At 38.9% G+C, this 20568-nt stretch overlaps 1 long non-coding RNA gene across 2 annotated transcripts in view; it reads left to right on the plus strand.

Moving 5' to 3' along the window:
- Window positions 1-2529: 2529 nt before the first annotated feature.
- LOC105376942 (uncharacterized) overlaps window positions 2530-20568 on the plus strand; it is a 150192-nt gene continuing 132153 nt past the window's right edge. For both annotated transcript variants that reach the window (XR_940578.3, XR_940579.2), the window contains exons 1-2: window positions 2530-3022; window positions 8823-8911. This is a non-coding gene — a long non-coding RNA (uncharacterized LOC105376942). The remainder of the gene's footprint in view (window positions 3023-8822; window positions 8912-20568) is intronic.

Below are 20568 nucleotides of genomic sequence, written 5' to 3' on the forward strand. Positions count from 1 at the left end.
AGTCTGACTTTAGAGGCCATGCTCTTGACCATTATACTGTACTGCATCCCAATAGTTTATGGTACTATTTAATTTGTAGATACTGAGAGCTATTGATTTTTGAGGTAGATATTGATGCAATTAGAGATAAGCTTTAGGAAGATCTTCCTGGAAGTGGTATATAAATAGTTGGAGAGGTATAGTGGTAAAAGCAAATACCTGAACTTTTTGTGTGAGATTTTGCCAGGCAGTAATATAAAAGTGTCTTGGTAAATTGTCTTATAAATAATTAGAACCTTCCAAATTCCATTTCCCCCAGGGATGCCATTGCATGCATAAAAATGGGAGCAAGGCCTGGTAGCACATATTTGGAAAAGTAACTGAAAAGCATCTGTGTCATATCTGCATGCAGTGTGACTTCCTGAACCTCTCCACTTTTAATCATGTGAGCAATATTTGTAGCTTCAGAGGTGACCTATTAACATATGTATTCATGAAGATGAGCAATTATTGGGGAAAAAAATGTTCGTTTAGCTAATTCTTTGAATGACAGTGTGACTGCACTAGTGAATAAAACTAAGTCAAACAGGACAATCGCCCATCCCAATGGAAACAAACATTGCTCAGATTTTCTGCTCGGAGTCACAACACCCAAGAGCTCCTTTTCTTTGACTCCCCTCTAGAACCCTTCTTTGACACCAGGTGAGTGAGCACAGCAGGTTGTCTTCCCCGGAAGATTTGGGGAGCCTGAATTGATTTCACTGAAACGTTATCATATCTCTTTTCCTGCCACTGCTATAGGCGGACGATGGGTCAGACAACAATTAACTTGATGGAAAAAAAATGCCATTTTTATTAGAATGTCACACATGGTACTACAATAGGAGATTCATATGGTACTACTTGACTCTGTTCTTGGCCCTAGGACCTATCAATCAAGATTTCAGTTCTTGTTAGTGACTTTCTTGCTCCCTCCTGTCCAGATAGACAAAGACACAGCAGGAGCCTGGGCATCAAATAATGCTCCCCAAGAGTTTTCCTGGAAATCATCCCACAATTCCCTGAATTTTGTACATTTTCAATGTGGTAAAGAGTAGATGCTGGCAGGAATTTACACTTGGGGATGGGGATTTTGTGGGGTTGGGTGTGCTGGTTTTAGAGGTTATAAGTTTTAGACACAAACTTGTGAAAATTAGTGCCAGATGACATGGCTGAGCTTTCTACCTCTTGTCATTTCTCAACACCCTTAAGAAAGGAGTCACATTTTGGGAAAGGGGACAAACTGTTTTCCCTCTGGGAGAATTAAACACCCTGTCCTCTTTGCTATCACTTTACACTGAAGAAATTTCTAGCATAGATTTTGTAAGAATTTAATGAATTTTTAGGTGTCTCTCTCTGAACCAGACTGTAAGTCCCATGAGAGCAGGAACTGTGTCTCATTTACTGTTGTACCTTCACTGCCTAGCACTGAAACTACTTTCTGTGTGCTCAGTAAAAATGAAAAAAACAACAACAACAAAAAAAAAAACAGTAATTGAACACATGCTTTTTGAGAACCTGAAACATTTGAATTGCTTGCTCTGAAGGCCTCACTCTTTGCATTTCACTTCTAAAGATAAACAAAAAGTGCTAAAGTGCTTTAATCAGTCTTTAATTTGCATTTTTGAAAACTCTGTTAAAGGGAAATCCCTTAGGAAGTTTAAACTTTAATCTGAGCAAAGAAAAATAAAACAAAGCAAAGCGAAACTGATTCACGGATGAGACAGACCTCTGAACATGAGAAGGTTCAGAGAAATCCCACCAATAAGGTGATCCCTAGTGAAAATGCAAAAAATTCCATTCACTTATAGGAAACCAAAGAGCAGTGTAGAGATGACTTAATTGGTTATCACTTAATTGGTAAATTGGTTACAGAGCCTCCTGCAATTAATAAAGCTCAGCTACTGTAGTAAATGCCATATTGGTTTGGTCTATTAGGCTTAGTGCAGGAGCCTAGTCCAAGTCAGAGGCCTTCTGCAAAATTTTGTTTAACACTCTAATGCAGGTAAGTAATTACATGCTCATTGCACAAAATCTAGACCATATAATGGATAGTGTAAACCAGAAACAACCACCTTTCCCTTGATTTGGCTGCCCCTGCTCCCTGATTCCACATGTTGTTTCACGTGGCCTCTGTGGCTAGGTTGGCAGAGGCTATTCTTCCATCCTGGGCTTATTGTGGACATCCCAAGTTACCATCACAGCCCAGCAAATTCCAGATCTGCCCACCCTCTATTCAAAAGGCAGAATGCCAACAAGTACAGGGCTACCAACTGTTGGTTACTGGTGAGAGGAGGTGCCAGCTGGGCTTCCTGGGTCGAGTAGGGGCTCAGAAAGCTGTGAAACTCACTCATTTCCTGCATCAGGACTTATTTTGGTCCTGGATGAATAATATTGAAGATATATGCTTAAAATATTCCTAACCTCAGAATTTGTGCATGTGTTTTCTTCCCCAAGAAAGCTATAAACAGCGAAAATTTTGCTGTAAGCTTCCCTGTGTCCTCTCTCCCTCTCTCCCTTCCCCCTCCCCTGAAACTAAAAGGAATGTTCAAAGCCTGTTTTTCTGTGACCAGCAGACCTTATCTATGCTCCCAATTCCAATTCCTTGTAAACACAGTTTGTACAATCCTGAGAGATCCTGTCTCCTTTGCCATGCCGCTGCAAGGTCATAAAGTAGATAAAACTTAAGTTGCAATTCCGGTTTTCCTCAAGATCTGAGACATGTTAATTGTCTTTGTTTCTCGCTCTGGTAACATCTTCCCGCTGCACATATTTCCCGCCTTAAAGAGTTTAAAAGGTGATCAAAAAATCTAACACTGGCCACCCGCTCGGGACACCTTCCACGCTGTGGAAGCTTTGTACTGTCATTCTGCTCAGTAAAGCCTACAGCCTTTTTTCTCTCGGTCGGGTCCACGTCTCTCTCTCTTGCCGCGGGCTGCCGCCACCCCAACCCTTTGGCGTGGCTAAGGCAACAACCTTTGGTGTTACCCTGGTTTGCAAAGAGGTAAGTACAGAAATATAGAACTCAGAAAATTTTAGAGCAATTTGACAGTCAATTTTGTGTCTCCTGAATTTAATAAATAACAAATCTGGACTTGGGTTTATCTTGTATCTCGTTTCCTTTTCATTTCATTTTTCACTAGTAATTTATGTTGTTAAAGGCTCAGAGCACAATGGACTAGAAAAGAAAAAAGAAACAAACATCTTTCATCCTTGCTACTTTGGAAAACATTGCTTTAAGTCATTTGTAGCGAAAATCACTACCTCAAAAACGATGCATAGCGGATATTTATTATTTATTTATTTATTTATTTATTTGCATTTTCACTAGGATGGGGGTAGAAATGATAGTTTGACATGATTTATACATTCAGAAGTCAGGGACCTGGAAGTCTCAGCAGTAGTTTTCGTAGATGGTGTATAAAGCACCACAAAATAGAATAGAAGCCTGATGCTTGGAACCAAATTATGACTGCTCTGGGCATGATAACTTGGAACACCTTAGCCAGCAGGTTTTACATTATTACCTGTAAGGTTGGATTAGTGTGATCTAGGGATTATTGATTTCAGTGAATATCTTCACTCACATGGTTTTTCCTGGCAGCATTTCTCCGGACCCTCAAGAAGTCTTAGACTGTTTCTAGATCCACCAACTGTTTTGTTTTGTTTTGTTTTGTTTTGAGACGGAGTCAGGCTCTGTCTGCCAGGCCGGAGTGCAGTGGCTCCATCTCGGCTCGCGGCAAGCTCCGCCTCCCGGGTTCACGCCATTCTCCTGCCTCCACCTCCCGAGTAGCTGGGACTACAGGAGCCCGCCACCACTCCCAGCTAATTTTTTGTATATTCGGTAGAGACGGGGTTTCACCGTGTTAGCCAGGATGGTCTCCATCTCCTAACCTCGTGAGCCACCCGCCTCGGCCTCCCAAAGTGCTGGGATTACAGGCGTGAGCCACCGCGCCTGGCCTAGATCCACCAACATTTTACTCAAATCTAAGTGTCACTGTGGCAGAAAAATGCATAGAGTGTTTCAGTTTTAAAGATGACCAGAAATTTCCTTGGCTGTGATTACATAGCAGACTAAGAAAAGGAGCTGTGTGGATCAGACGCAGGCAATGGACTTGATGCTTTTCTCTGTAAAAGGGTCTTCCTTCGGTTTTCTCACCAAACAGCTAGTATATAAAGGAAGGCATAAATGAGTGAGTCATTGCACTGTTTCTCTTGCTATAGTACCAAAGGCTATCTCAGTAGTAGTACTAATGGAAGCTACTATTTAATTAACACTTACTCTGTGTCATACAGTATGTTTAATATTTTACATACTTTTTTTTCATTTAAGCTCTGCAACATCCATAATATATAGTTGTTATCCCATTTTATAGAAGAGAGGAATGGGATGTCAAGGCCAGTGGCAGAACTGAGCTTTGAAAGGAGGTTTGATAGACTTTAAGTAATTCTGTTAACCAGTATTACAATCCTGCTGTTCTATTGCTTTTTTTTTTTTTAAACTATATCAAGTTTAAGCAAGAGGGACATTTGGAATAACTTTTGAATGGCATGACATAGAATAGGTGCATAGGCATTTGAGAGCTGCATGAAATCTAGCAGATCTCATAGTCTAACTCAGGGGTTTCACAATCTTTCTTCTCTTTATTTTAATTAAAACTTGTTTTAATTAAACTTAATTTAAAAAAATTCTGTAGAGATGATGGGATGTCACTTTGTTGTCTAGATTGGTCTCAAACTCCTGGCCCCAAGTGATCCTCCTACCTTGGCCTCCCAAAACACCGGGATTATAGGCATGACTCCCCCATGCCCAGCCCACAATCCTTTTCTTTCAAGGTCTGTATAGTAAATATTTTAGACTTTGCAGTCCAATTCAGTCACTCTGACAACTATTCAATTCTGCCATTATGGATGGAAAGCAACCATAGGTGATGTGAAAATGAATGTGCGTGATTGCCTTTCAATAAAACTTTATTTACAAAAATAGGTGGTGGTTTGGATTTGGTCCATGGGCATTGTTTGTCAACCCTAGTTCAAATGTCTAGTTTTATGGATGTTGCTAAGACCAAGACTGGGCATGGACTTGTCCAGGGTCTTCGAGGCAGCAATGACAAAGACTTGTATCCTTTAGACTCCAAACTCCGTGTGTCTTATCTTTGACCACTTGGCTCCTCCCTCTGATAACTTAAGCATTTTGTCTAGTGTGATACATTTAATTTTTGACATCTACATATAAGGTTGCAATGTACCCTTTTAGCTTTCATTCAAAACAACTTATTTGAGTATGAGTTAATGAGGGAATTTTACTACAGAATTAATCTGTTCTGATTTGCTAAATGATATTAAAGCATTCATGACTTTCAGAAATTATTCATCTAAAAAATACTTGGAGCAGGTTTCTGAACCAATTGTGATTTTTGGACACACTGTGAATCATGACCTGAAGACTGGGACAGCCTTGTCCAGTGTCAGGTATAGACACATATTGATTCTGTCCACCCCATGGTCTTATAGATGTCACTCAAAGTTTTCACATTTGTCACAGATACCAGTTTTTCACGGACTACTAATTCTTCTTAAATCTGAAAATGATTATGGCGACTTTTTCCAATTAATTGAAGAAAAAATACACATTTTCAATATTTGCTATGTTCCTTCATGGATTGTCCACTGCAAGTTTTTAAAGAATGTAGCCTGCTTCTGAGTGGGTATAGCCAATGGTGCCAGTACTATCTTTATCTTCAATTTCAAAACAGAATATTAATAAAGAGATGAGATCATATACCAATGCTCTTATAAAGCCTGAATCTGTTAAAGGAAACTTTTTGTTTCTTGGAGAGTGACTAAAATTAGAAGAAAGTTTATTATAGTATAAATACTCATTAAAGCCTGTGGGATTCATCAAAAGCATTTCTGGGGCATTTACATCCTTTTATCCAGAGAAAAAAAGTTACCAGAAAGTATTTCTGGAAAGCCAGCCATAATTTATGCTCCACACTCTGCTTCACATCATGGTAAAATTCTAATGAAGATGTTGTCACTGACTGTACTCTTTAAAAAAGATTTTACAAACAGTTTATCACAGAATTTATACTCAAATGGGCAAAAAAGGCACAGTACATGCCATTCTAGTGGGAGTGTTGTTGAAGCACTTCCAAATAACCTGTCTCTTTGGGGACTGGATTTAGCACTGTATTAAACAGCCCCATCTTCATCATCAGCAGGCTGGGCCTGAGTTTTCTATGAGAGTTTGATAGGTCCAGATAATCCCAAACACACTCTTTTTCCTGTCTGTTCATGAAATAAGAACTGGGACCTGAGCTACCACGAATTTGAGAGTAACATTCTGAACCTTGCAAGAGAAAATGAGCTCAGGGAAATACTGCATGAACCACTTAGCATTTGCAAGGATTTGTTTAAATCATGGTTACAACTTCCTGAAGCTTCTTGATATGCAATTGATTTTTGGTCCCTGTGTTTTCCTCCTTGGTCCTAAATAGGGATCTTGTGAATTGTAGGTCCTCAAGATTCTGCAAATTTCTTTTTTTTGGTTGTGCATCCCTACCCCCGTTTCAGACCCATCTAAAATTAACTGCCTTTGGTGCTTTATCTTGGGTGTTCACCTGGTTTTGAGCCATCAGAATACTTTGCCAACATGTTCACCTGGTTTTGGGCCATCAGAACACTTTGCGAACATGTTTCAGTCCCTCTGAGTGACTCCATGGTATACCTTTTGTAACAAAGTAGTGGTTTAGAAACATTTAAATATTCAGGGACTTCATTTGAGATGTTAGAGACCATAATGGCTGGCTAAATTATATTCTGGACATTTATTTAGCTTCTGCTGAAGAAACTAATTTGAGAGCTAATGGCTCATCTATTTAAATAAAATGGCTTTTCAAGATTAGCTGATCTTGAAAGACGGGGTGGTTGTATAGACTGTAGATCGGGGCATCTAATATTTTGGCTTCCCTGGTCCACACTGGAAGAAAAAGAATTGTCTTAGGCCACACATAAAATACACTAACCCTAATGATAGCTGATAAGCTCCTAAAAAGAAAAATCTCATGATGTTTTACGGAAGTTTACAGATTTGTTTTGGGCTTCATTCAAAGCCGTCCTGCGCCACATGTGACCCATGGGCCATGGGTTGGGGAAGCTTGGTGTAGAGTGTATTCTCTAGAGTCAGATGACCCGGGCTAGGATCCCCTCACTATGTCTTCCCAGTTGCAGGAAACTTCATAATTTACCTTATCTCTCTAAGATTCTATTTCCTTTTGGGTAAATTGGGAATGCCAGTAATATATGCCTATCAGTTAGGGCTGTTCTGAAGACAAGAGGTGGACCATATAATGCACTTGGAATTCAATAAATTATAGCAAATTCACAGTACCTTTTATAATTCTGGGGTTCAGAAATCCTCAAACATATTTTTTTCATAAACAGATTACACCATAATTTAGAGAAACATTCATTTAAAACTAAACTGCTTCTGTTTTATTACATAAACATAAAGTTATAAATGTTTTGAATCAGTCCATATGGTTATGCATTTAGAATTCAAATGACCTAACTATTTTGATTTGTATATGATTATTGCTCCTCTAAAGATACTTTTATTTGCTTTGCCTTGGATGCCTCTCTTTATCTGGTTGCATTTGAAGTGCTAAGTGCTCCAGACCCCCCTGTATCCTTTGCTAATCTAGTCTTTCTCTGAAAGTTTTTGTAAATTAATGCTTTTGAAGAGTAGGTATAAGGAACTCCTAGGTAGGAAAGTAGATTCCTTTGTGGGTTTGGAATTACACAAAAGTAAATCACTCGGCTGCTCCCAATGCACTTGCCTTAATCACACAACTTTGGCCTAATTGCAAGGGAGTCTGAGAAGTACTCCATTGTTCCCAGAAAATGGAAAATGAAATGGACATTTAGCATTGTCTCCTCCACCCATCATTTTAAAAGCAAGTGTGCCAGGCCGGGCACAGTGGCTCACTCCTGTAATACCAGCAATTTGGGAGGCCAAGGTGGCAGGATCACACGAGGCTGGGAGTTTGAAACCAGCCTGGTCAACATAGTGAGACCCTGTCTTTACAAAATAATGTAATAGTTTTCAATAAGTAAGTGTGCCATGTCTTAGTTGTCATTCTGACCCCAATCTTAACTGATATTTGCTTTACATTCAAAGCAACCAATAAATTTTTTAAGATAGGGCATTTTTTACTCAAGGAAGCAAATAAGCCATTACGTTTTAAGAAGATTAAATTTTAAAAATTCCTGTAGTTTTGTAGGTCTTCTGTAAACATTAGTTGGCATATTTTAAAGCTTCCATATGGTCATGTTTTTGTTATCCCTGAACATATACTGTGTATTCATGGTAGGCAGAGTGCTCTGATATACGTCTCATAGGGTACACATGGTTAATGGTTATGAAATGTGAGATTGAAAATTTTGACCTTGATACATAATTTTAACAGAATGGCATTATAACTTTAAATTGATGACACCAAAAATTCTGCTTAAGTCATATTAAGACAAAAAAAGTTGACTTGGCTCCATCCCCATGATTTTTGCTCCAATCCGGTATTTTCTCTCTCTGACCTCTTTCAAAGTACCTACAAATGCTGATTTTTACCATGCTCGAAACCTTTTCATTTCCCATTGCCTCCAGAAGGTTTTGTTTAATAATAAAGATTTTCCTTCCTCTGGCTCAACCCTGATTGTTTCTCAATTTCCTGCCCACTAATTCCCTACACAGGTTCTCTCCTTTAGTTACACCCCTGCTTATGTGCTTCTATCTATTCTATTAGGAATGCCCTCTCCAAACATGCCTATCGAATAAGGTCCTGTTCATGATGCAAATCTCTATGTGATCTTCCTCCGGAATTCTTGAGCCCATGTGAGTTCTTTCTAATATTTTTTCTTTAAAATTTTTCATTGGTACATAATAGATGTAAATATTTTTGATATATGTGTGATAATTTAGTAAGTTCATGTAATTTGTAAAGATTAAATCGGTGTAATTAGGATATCCATCACTTTTTGATATTTGTTTTTTCTTTGTGCTAGAAACAGTTATTCTCTTTAGTTATTTTGAAATATACAGAAGATTATTGTAAACTATAGCCACTCCACTGATCTACCAAACACTAGTTCTTATTTTTTCTATCCATTTTGATTCTTTACTTGTGAGTTTCTACAACTCTAGTTGTAGAAGATAACGAACTTGTCCATAGTTTGACTCCTAGAAACAAACACAGACAGAACATAGAATGTGTTCAATACCTATTTGTTGGACCAATGAATGCATTTATATATTTGGTTCTGATTTTTGTTTGCCTCGTTTGGATACCATTTGGTGCAAGCTAAGTCGTTCTGCCATATCAAACAATCTCGGTAGCTGATGAAAACAACGGGCATTGCATGTTCCTTGTGGGTCAGCTGGGGCTTTGCTCTACATCCTACTCTAGGACCTAGGATGATGGAGCAGCTCCTGTGGGGAACATTGTGATTGCTGTGCCAGCGGGAAAAGAAACATGGCACCCACAGCTCAGCATCAGTGTTTCTCCCTGGAAAAGGCATCTATCACTTTTCCTTTCTTTTGATTATCCAAAATAAAACATCTTGAGTTCAGCACAGTAGGAGTATGTAATCCACCCTCAGGGAGAAGCAAGCTAGAGAGGGATTTTTTGGTGAGTAGCAATACAACCTACCACTGGAACGTAACCATACATCATCCCGCACATTTATTGAATCACTTTGGCTGTTGCATTTATCTTACATACTGAACTGCAGTGTAAAATCATGGACAACAGTAAGAAATCTCCTTTCAAAGGTTATCAGTAGGTTGTCCACAATGAATAAATAAGCAAGAACATGTAGAATTGTGAGCTATATAGATGATATTATCTCTGATTTGCTGGACCACAGGTTTTATAAAAACTCTCTGATGAAATATAAACACTGAGGCATTCTTACTTGTTTTATGGCATGAGTAACCTTGTTTCTCATTTCATGTTTTCCCACATCTGAAGAATAGGGTGTTGAAGGAACCCCCTCCACTGGTGATGGCTTTCCAGTCTAGCGCATCTCTCCACAGTCTACTCCCTTCTTTGATTCACAGTATTCAGAACATTTCTGATATCTGAACATTTGAGCAAAAATGTGCATAGCACAGGGCAATAAAGTGATTGTCATCATCATTTGTCTTTTCCTCTTCAATCTGTGTTAGTATCATTAGCTCTAATTTAAGAACATCATCTCTTATTATGGAACACATTTACAGTTCACTTTGTTGGTTTAATTTCTTTTCTTATTTGCCTTTTTGCAAAACCTGCAAAGTGTTTTGTTTGAATCCACTAACTTGAAATGTACTGTGCTTCCATTTTTTCTTTTGCCCTCTTTCTCTCCCTTCCTCCATCCATTCTTCTGTACTTTACGTACATCATTTCTTCTGTACTTTCTTTCCTTCTTTATTTCTTAATGACAAGAAGACAGGGGTTGGAGCTAGCAGAGTCTTTCATTTGTTGAGTGCCTACTTGATATCAGGCACCTGGCTAAGCACACGGGGGCTTTTGTAGCATTCAGATCAGACTAAATTTGGCATGTTTATCCACACCAAGTGTTGATTTTTCCTGTAGTACAAAATATTGCAAACTGGTAGCTGAAAGGCATTTGGAACCTTATCTGAGGAATTCAGACATCCTTCTTTCTCTGACTCATCCCCAGCAAGGATTAAAAAAAAGAGATAGTTCCACGTTTCCATGTGCACTTATTCTCAATGCACCTGAAATGACTTATCTTTAATAGGTCCAAGCAGCTCACACATTTGCTTTCATTACTGACATTACAGCTCTAGCACTACCTTGGGTCCTTTAAATAGTAAAAAGTACCAGGCCCTGTACAGTTCCACTCAAGCCTCCTTAAAGGCAAAGTAATAGCATCTGTCCTCCAAAGGGTTCCTAGCTGATTATTAGTATCCCAGTCCTCCTTTCTCCTCAAAATTGTAAATGTGCCAGTGTCAGGGTTTGTGTGCAATCGTTCCCCTCAGTGAGATACACACCTTTTTTCTCTCTCTCCTGCCAACTCTACACAGTTTATGTCTTGCAACAGAATCACACCGTTATTCGTTCATTCCACAGATCCTTACAGAGCAACCCCCTATATATCAAGTACCCTGTTAGGGGCTAACGCCCTACAGTTAAAGGCTTAGTTCCTGACCTCGTGGGACTCTTGGTTTGGAGAAAGGGGGTAGAAAATAATCATACCAAATACAGAGACAGATGCTATGATCCTAGTAAGCCCCGTGGTCCTCTGAAAACATAGAGGAGGGTTCACTAGCTCAGTTTAGGGGAAACGGTTGTAGGCAGAGATAGATGCCTTGGTCGGTGGTATAGACTCTTCTCGTCATTTATCTGACTTGAGAGAATGATTTTTATGTTATTTTTATTTTTTCGGAGATTTTTTTCCATTTTGTATTGATGCATAATAATTGTACATATTTCTGGGACACACGGGCTGTTTTGATACCTGCATACAATGTGTAATGATCAAATCAGGGTAATCGGGGTAATCCGCCACCTCAATCATTTATCCTTTCTCTGTGTTGGGAACATTCCATATTTTCTTTTCTAGCTGTCTTGAAATACACAATAAACGATTGTTAACTGTAGTCATCCTACCGTACGATGGAACACTAGAACTTATTCCTTGAAAGTCGTGTTTTTAAAACTGTGGGGATGAATCTTTTAGATCCCACTGGGAGCACAACTCAGTTTGTTCCTAGAGTGTGTTTGTGGAGATGTTTTGAAAGCAAACATTTCTTTGAAATCTGACATACGTACACTAAAGTGCACAGATCTTAAGTGTACAGCTTGATGCATTATCATAAGATAAACATGTCCACATATCGGGAGCTGGGTTAAGAAATAGCCTCTTGCCGGCCGGGCGCGGTGGCTCACTCCCCTAATCCCAGCACTTTGGGAGGCCGAGGCGGGCGGACCACGAGGTCAGGAGATCGAGACCATCCTGGCGAACACGGTGAAACCCCGTCTCTACTAAAAATACAAAAAAATTAGCCGGGCGTGGTGGCGGGCGCCTGTAGTCCCAGCTACTCGGGAGGATGAGGCAGGAGAATGGCGGGAACCCGGGAGGCGGAGCCTGCAGTGAGCCGAGATCGCGCCACCGCACTCCAGCCTGGGCGACGGAGCGAGACTCTCTCAAAACAAACAAACACCTTTGCCAACTCGATGAAGTCCCCTTTGTGTCCCTGCCTGGTCATCACCACCTCTAACATGAATTCGAACCTGACTTCTACCACCAAAGATTAGTTTCCGCTGGGTTTGAACTTTATGTAAGTGCGGTGAAGTCATAGAACCGATTTTCTTTTGTGTCTGTCTTTTATAAGCCAACCTGTTTGTGAGGTTCATCCGCATGATAGCATATGGTTGTAGTATATACATTCTCTCTGCTTTGTAGGGTTTGATCTGATATTCTGTTGTCTGGCTATACCACAATTTATGATCAATTCCATGTTGAGGGATACCTGGGTTCGTGGGTTTTCTTGACCACTCTAATACCCCTCTCAGCTCAGAATCTTGGCAAGCAACAATAGTCTTCTGGATCTGGCATTGCCTTCATTTCCTTATCTTTCTTTATTGCTCTCTATTTACGGAAAATTATAGTAGTTTTTATTTGTTTTTGTTTTAAGTGGTGATACAAAGTGTTTTTTTTTTTTTTAAATAAGTTCCTTGAAATGGGACGATTTTAAAAATCTTTAGTAATAACAGAAGTATGATAGTAATGCTGTGGCAAATGTCGTGGAGGTGAAATTCAAATAGCTCAGTTAAAGAACAATAAGATTAGGGCCCTGGAGTTTTTGTTAAAAGGTAATAATTTGTATGTCTAGGGGTGTTAGCTATCATCATCCTGAGCCAGTTGGCTTCATAATTTATCAGAGTGCATTAGATCAGTTCAGGTTTGCTTTGTTAAGATCCAAGAAAGATCTGGAATCAGTGTGCCAAGAGTTCGAACAGACCCAGGTGAGACCCGCAGCAAGAAATCCTGGCACTGGGAAGAGACACAGAGAGAGAATGGCAAGTATGGTGACCACTTGGGGATAAGGTGATGTGGAAACACAGGGAATGAAGTTGTGGAAACACAGGGAATGAAGAAGTTGTGCTGACTCTTTACACACTTCTTACTGGGTCTTAGGACCATGATCCACAGGCTGTATTAGGAAGATTAAATAACTGACTAGATCTCACTTCTCCCTTCATCTCTCATGAATGCAGCATGGCTTAATAATATTAGTTGTAATTTTGCCCACTTACTGTGTACAAAGCACGTTGCATGCTTTATACCATTTAATCTTTACAGCATGCCTGCAAGGAAGTACATTTTACTGCGGTACACAGAATATGGCCCCAAAAGATGTCTACATCCTAATCCTTTGAATTTGTAACTATGTTACCTGACATGGCAAAGGGAAGTCAAGGCTGTATATGGGACTAAGGTTGCTAATCAGCTGATCTTATGGTAGGGAGATTTTCCTGGATTATCTGGTCTATCCTAATGTAATCATAAGGGTCCTTAAAAGTAAAAGAGGGGGGCAAAAGATGAGGTCAGAATGAGGTGATGGGAGGACTTAACCTACTCTTGCTGCTTTTGAAGATGGAAGAAGAGGTCAAAAGCCATGGGATGTGGGAGGCCTTTAGAAAAGGAAATGGATCCTACTCAGGGCCTGCAGAAAGGAATGCAGCCCTGCCAATGTTAGGGCAGTGAGACCCATATCAGGCTTCTGGCCAACAGAAATGAAACATAATCCGTTTGTGTGGTTTAAGTTTCAGGTACTTTGTTATGGCCACCATAATATACGAATATATCTACTAAGAAGAATTGGGGCAGAGGCAAGGGAAGTCATGCACGCCAATAACTGAAAAGGGCTAGATTGGAAATCAGACATATCTGACTTCAAAACCAGTGATGGTCTTGATTATTGCTGTCAATGATCCAAGGCTAGAACACAGGTTCTTGTCTGATTTAGATACTTAAATTCACCCCTGGATGGGAGGAGGAAAATCAAATGGGTCCCAAGAGTCTGAGAAATGGAAGAGGAAGATTATCACATGTACAAAAGGATTTATGGATTCATGGGCCTTTCTAGTATGCTTTTGTATAAGAAGAATGTTCACAATGCATGTAACAGAAAAGCCAACTCAAACTGGCTTAACAATAAAGGGAAATTATTAGCTTACGTAATTTTAAAAGCCCACTGGTGCCTCTGGCTTCCATTTTGACTTGATTTACCGTTACAATGAGGTTGTCATTTCTTTCTTTCGTTTATATTTTTTTCTTTTGTTTTTCCTCTGCCTTTCTTAATCTCGGTTACATTTTAAGGCTAGCTCTCCCTGGGTCCCTAGATGGTTGTCTGCGTCTCCTGTGGCCATGTGTTCTCTTTACACACAGCAGAAAAAAGAGAATGCCTCTGTACATGCACTCCCAGCAAAACGAAGCAAACAAAACATAGAGTTAAAAAAGAAAATAATTATCAGTGATTTAAACAGTTTAGATCACATATTCACAGCTGTCCAGTGGGGTGAGAAGCACATTTTGCCTAGGTTAGACCTGACTCCAGAAAAAAAATATACTTCCCTGAAGCCACATTGATTCCCATACAAAACCCAGGAGACCCTGGAAGGAGAACTGGTTCGTGGATGATGGAAAGGCAGCCAAATAAACACAATAGGGAAAAAGAGGATCTGCGGAGGAGGCGGAAGTGATGCATAAGACCAGAAGGTCAATTCCTTCCCATTTCATAAGATAAAAACTGGAATCCATTGTGTTTGCAAATAGAGCAACTCTATGTGGTAGCCGCATTTCTGTTTGTGTGTAAGGATTCATAGGAACATTGGATGTAAACATTTTATAGGATCTAGATCATAGCAGTATGCTACAACCAGGGAAATCCTCAATTAACTCCAGGGTATTTTTTATAGTGTTCTCTTTCTGTATCCATTTTTTGTCTGTTCAATTCAGTATGTAATCATTTCTTGAAACGTATTATTTGGCAGGACACCATAAGATAGATAATTCTTTTATTTACTCTTTAGCTATTATTCCTAGCCCAAAGTCACAGATTTTTTTTATTGCCGTAAGAAAAATCAATAATTGAATAGTAAGAGGTTGATAATCCTTTAGTTTCTATTTATAAGAACTCTCAACTCCCCTCTAAACTCACAGCCAAGGAAATATTAATCAGTTGCCAATAAACAGTTCCGTGCTGGAGTTCACATATGTTTCTCCTAGAAATAACATATGCTTCAGTGAAAACTGCAGAACTGCACTCACTAGAGACAATATTTTTGTTATTAAACGTTTCATTATGCTTTTTTGGTTGTTGTTATGGCTGAGTTATCAGTTAAAACATAAAAAGTCAGCTGGTAATTGGGAATGAAAAAGACTGGTTACTCTTCAATTTTTCAATAAATGCCCCGGTTGCAGATTACATAGAGGGAGAAGTATGCTACTTCTCCCTCTATTTCTGAGAAAATATGTGCAAAATATCAGCACAGTTCTTGGCGTATAGAGAGCACACAGTGAGCAAAGCTAATATAATTGTTATAATTCTTTCGTCTGACTCTCACATCAGTTTCTAAGATGATGAAACTGAAGTCTAGAGAGGCTGAATGACTTGTTTAAATTTTCACAATCTAATGAGAGGCAGATTCATGTGAGTTTTCCAAACTCTCTTTTTGTTCCCTAGAATAGGCATGTTACACTTTTGGAATTAACTGGTTAGTTACTAGTTGTAGCTCTCCCTGTCCGCCACTAAAAGCAAGCTCTTTGAGGAAAGAAGCTGTGTTTATTTTTGCATTGTTGTATTTCCAGGGTTTGGTACAATTCTGGACACGGAAGAGATTCCCAATAAGAATTTGCTAAAAACAAATCAATGAATTTTTATAAACATAATTTTCCAGTCAGAGAAAACCATAATTGATCCCCAAAATAATTATATGGAATAATAGACATATTAATTTTTGAAGTATTTCTTATGCAACTTGTAGACACATTTCATATATCATGAAATTAGTCTTTAACTATTCGTAGTGTGTGTATTTGTTAATTCCACACGCACGTTTGTAATTACAGGGTTCCATTGTGAATTACAGCAGCAATGTTAATGAATCTGGCTGCTCCAAATTTTAACAGTCTGTTCCTGAACCAGGTCTGTGGAAATTTCTGCTGACAGAGTATCTGAATTCATACTTCTAAAATCTCAATCTGGCAAAGCAGAGAGAATCATCACTAGTATGTAAAAATGTGTGCTGTAACATTATATATGCAAATGAAATAACTGTTGGCAAAAATAATTATTGTTGCTCATTGGGAGGATTAATAGTTACAGTCTGCTCTGTTTTCTGTTGAGATTTAACTTAATTCTGTGGCATATATTAACTGAGGAAATTAATTTGGGTTTAATTATTGTGTATGGCTGTTAATGTGCAAACTTATGATGAATATTTAGTTACGCTGAACCGGCAATCCAGTAGCTATTCTTATGCTCATTTGCTGACAGGAAGTATCTGATGGAGAAGATGGTATGTGCTGCATGGGTTTCCAGTGCAATGTCATCCATAGTACGTTGCTGTGATCAGGGAAAAAAGAACTGGGCTTGAGGTAGAAGGGGACAGGAACTTGGGTACTGGCTGTGATATTAACAAATTATGTGTATCCCTAAGCTTTCAACTAGAGAATGGCAGGAGAAAACCAATTTTCCTTAGGGATTTGTTTTAAGGTGAATGAATTAATAGGTGGAGAACAGATTGGTGAATAGCAAACTGCTGTTTTAAATGAAAGGAATATCTATAATAAGTTTTTTGTTTATCCATTTAATAACAAATTTCTTTAATGAGTCAAATTAGATTAGACAGATACCTAAAAGGCGTTCAGGAAAGCATTCGTTGATACATAAAATGTAGATTGATTGAGATTAAGTATAGATCAACACCCCTTCTCCACAAAGATCAACATAAATAAAAATTCCATATACCAAGAAAGACAGCCAAATCCTTCGGAGGTTTGCGTATTTCAAACTGTAATTAGTAACACAAAATTCCTGGATGTTTACATGTTATAAGATTATGATATATGAACTCTGGAGCCAGGCTGACCTGGTATAACAGCAACATTATTTGCTAGTTGGGTGATTCAGCTGCTTATTTCATGCACCTAAACCTGAGTCTCCTCATTTGTAAACTCGAGTGATAGCACTTCCAAGGGATTTTGGGAGGATTAAATGTGACAGTGAATGAAAAACTAACACTGGCCCATGGATATTTCTTAATGAATGTTAGCTTTGTCTCCATTAAAAAGAGTTTGGACATTTTAATAGAATTCTTTGCAATGGCGTGTAATCCTTTAAATAGAACAAATGAAGACAGCTAATTATCTCTGTATAAACAATTAGAATTATGGACTCTGGGCCTGGGTATACTTCATGTTCATACACTCATGGCCTTTCCCTTTCCTGTTCTTCTTCACTTTCCTGTGAGTTAAATAATAATGTTGGGTGTCCTGTAAGTGAGTAAAATAATGATGTTGAGGTGTCTAGGCTCACACCATGGTCCTGTTGACTCATTGGGTGCAGTTACAGCTCTGTTTCTCCTCTTTTTTTTTGCTCCAGTCATCCCTGCCGTGTCTGGGGAGGGAAGACATCCAAGAGGCACAATGGGAGAAGGTGACCTTGAGTTAATGGAATCTGAGTTCTCTGAAAGAGAACATATTGCTCGCAAAGCTGGTACAGGCTGTATTCAGCACTGAGGCCTGCCACCTTTCTTCAAGTGTTGTTTGATTCTTATTTTTTCACACCAGAGAAATGCCTAGCACCTCTTCACATAAAGCAGGTCAATTTAGACAACAGGTAACCCTTCCATGCCTTTTGTACATGTCTGCCATAGTGGACAATGGGTGGATAAATCTTTACAGAAAAAAAAAATTGCAGGAGAGAGTAATAAATTCATAACTTTCATAAGCAAATATTTATTGATTGTGTTCTCTGTGATGGATACTGCTGTAAATATTGGCGACAGAGCAGAAAAGAAAATAGACAAAATTAATACCTAGCTTTTATTGAGTGATTTTGTATGTGCTAGTCACTGTGCCGAGGATTAAATATATTTACGTTACTAATCTTCACAAACTTATGGGGTAGATACCACTAACACTCATTTATGCTCGAGGAAACCAAGACTGAAGGAAGTTAAATAACTTGTTCAGGGACATAGAGCTAGTGAGCGATGGAGGTGGGATTTGAACTCATCAAGTCTGACTTGCATGATAAACACCACGCTACAGCCTCCATCAGAGCTGTAAAATAGAAAAGAACTGTTATAAAGCCCAAACAAATATCTGTGACTAAGTAGACACATAGAATCATGTTTCAAATAATTCATATTATAGATGAATGTATATTTGTGTGTGTTTGTGTGTATATATAATGACTCTCCAGGAATCAAACTCTTTTTTTCCTTTAAAAGCTCTGTAATAACCTGTTGGTGTAATATTTAGTGCATCCTGCAAAGTATATTTGTTTGCTAAACAACTCTGAGTGGCATTTTATTTAGCAGTAAAATGGAAGATTTTATCCATCCATAGGATAATTCAAATGTAGTCAGGTACATTGAGTGCTCAATGCAGTGCCCAACACATGGCATGTTGTCAATTAAAGTTAGCTCCCTTCCTGGTGGCCATTATTTTTCAGTATAGACATATTGTTTTCCTCTGCTATATTGTGTGCACACCCCTTATGAATAAGAACCATGTCTTATTCATTTCAATTATTTGAAATCATCCTGACACTTCTGTCCTCCTTTATCATGCCCACACCCCTCCTCCTCTGCCTGTTCTAGATGGTGAGCTAATCTGTAGAAGTTGATTCCCCCCACCCCGTGATTCCAAATACTACTTGACCACATTTTTCATTTAATATGATTTGGTGGAAATAGTCTATTTTCTCAAAATCCCAAAGATTAGCCTTATGCCCTTAAATGTAGAATTGCCCTGGCTTGATTATTTTCATCATTAAGGACACTTCCTAAAAATCTATTTTGATCCCTAGATTTTCTGACCACCCCCCCATCACCCACATGAAATGCAGTGCTACCTCACGTTCTTCTCTCTTTGCTGTGGGGGCCAAATTTCTCTCATACTTGAGCCAGGAAGCATAGCCAAGGTTTGAGGGTCATTTCCATGACCTGCCAACTCTCAATGTTTTCCAGGTTTGCCTTCCTGACCCTTGGGGGATCTTTTTTGGGAGTTAAATGGCCAAATGTTAAATTTTACTACCTGCAGCTGGTGGGCGTATTCATAATGATAAACCAAATGTCTCTTCACTTTTCTGAACATTTAAAGAATAATCCTCTGTCTTCCTTTTGTGCTTTCCTTTCTTCTGTGAAAGTAAAGACGGAGCTTGTCAAGAGGAATAGGCAGCAGCTTCCAAAGCTGAGACACCCTGGGCCTTCAGGAACATGAGCTTTGCCTAGTAGGAACTCACATTGTCTTACGAATTCTGATAAGGCCTTTCCATTTGAAAAACCTGGGAACCAAGTTTCTCTTTTTTTTTTTTTTTTTTAACTTAAAAGAAACTTGTTATTTTTTAGTTTTTGACACTCTACAATTCACAAACTTCTATAGTTTGTCACTGCAGCCAGCTCACCTAGATAGGGCCATGGTAGATAGGTTTTGAGATAAACTGAGGCTGGATTTTTCAGAGATCTGTTTTCTCCCATTCAGAAAAGATGTACACCCTTGACCTTGAGTTGTCTTAAACTGTGAATAAAATGCAGCTGTTCTCAAATATTTCCTAGTGCCACCCCTTCATGAGTGTGAAGAGTTTTCTGACATTAAAACAAACAAAAAGTAAGATACAGCATTTGGGTGCTTAGAAGAGTCTCAACATTTAAAGACTTGAAAATAAAAATGGAGTACATTGAGAAAGTCTTAAAAGAAAAATGATATTCATTTGTATCCTCTTTTAAATCTCCTACTCTCATTCATCAGGTTATGGTGACTGATGGACGATCATGTCTTTTCTGTCCAATTTAATCTAAGAGCCATTCCAGATGGCAACTTATGCATTTTAGACTTTAAAGCAACTCATGATTAAACATACAATCGGTCAGTTGTACCATGGGAACTGTAATCCTATGAATCAAAGAATGCGTTCATTCTTTTACCTTTCTTCCTTCTGCAAGCAATTCTTGAGGCCCTAGTATAAGGACACATAATAAACCTGAGGATTTGGACAAGGCATGAAGAACCTCAATATAAGTTTATATGGGAAACCGTGGAGCCCTATGACATTGCCGTGAACCTCTCTTTAAGGCAAAGGAATTAGAACTGGATTTCTACTGGCCCACAACTCCTTCCTTGAGGAGAGTCATCAAGCAGGTGAGAAGACATCCTGTCTTTGAATGTGAAGTCAGCTGCTATGATAGGGCCTCTGTTGCAGGCAGCAATTACTGTTCTGTCCTCTGCCACTCATATTCCAAAACTACT

The sequence above is a fragment of the Homo sapiens genome, chromosome 3, assembly GCF_000001405.40.
Source record: "Homo sapiens chromosome 3, GRCh38.p14 Primary Assembly".
NCBI classification, from domain to species: Eukaryota; Metazoa; Chordata; class Mammalia; order Primates; family Hominidae; genus Homo; species Homo sapiens.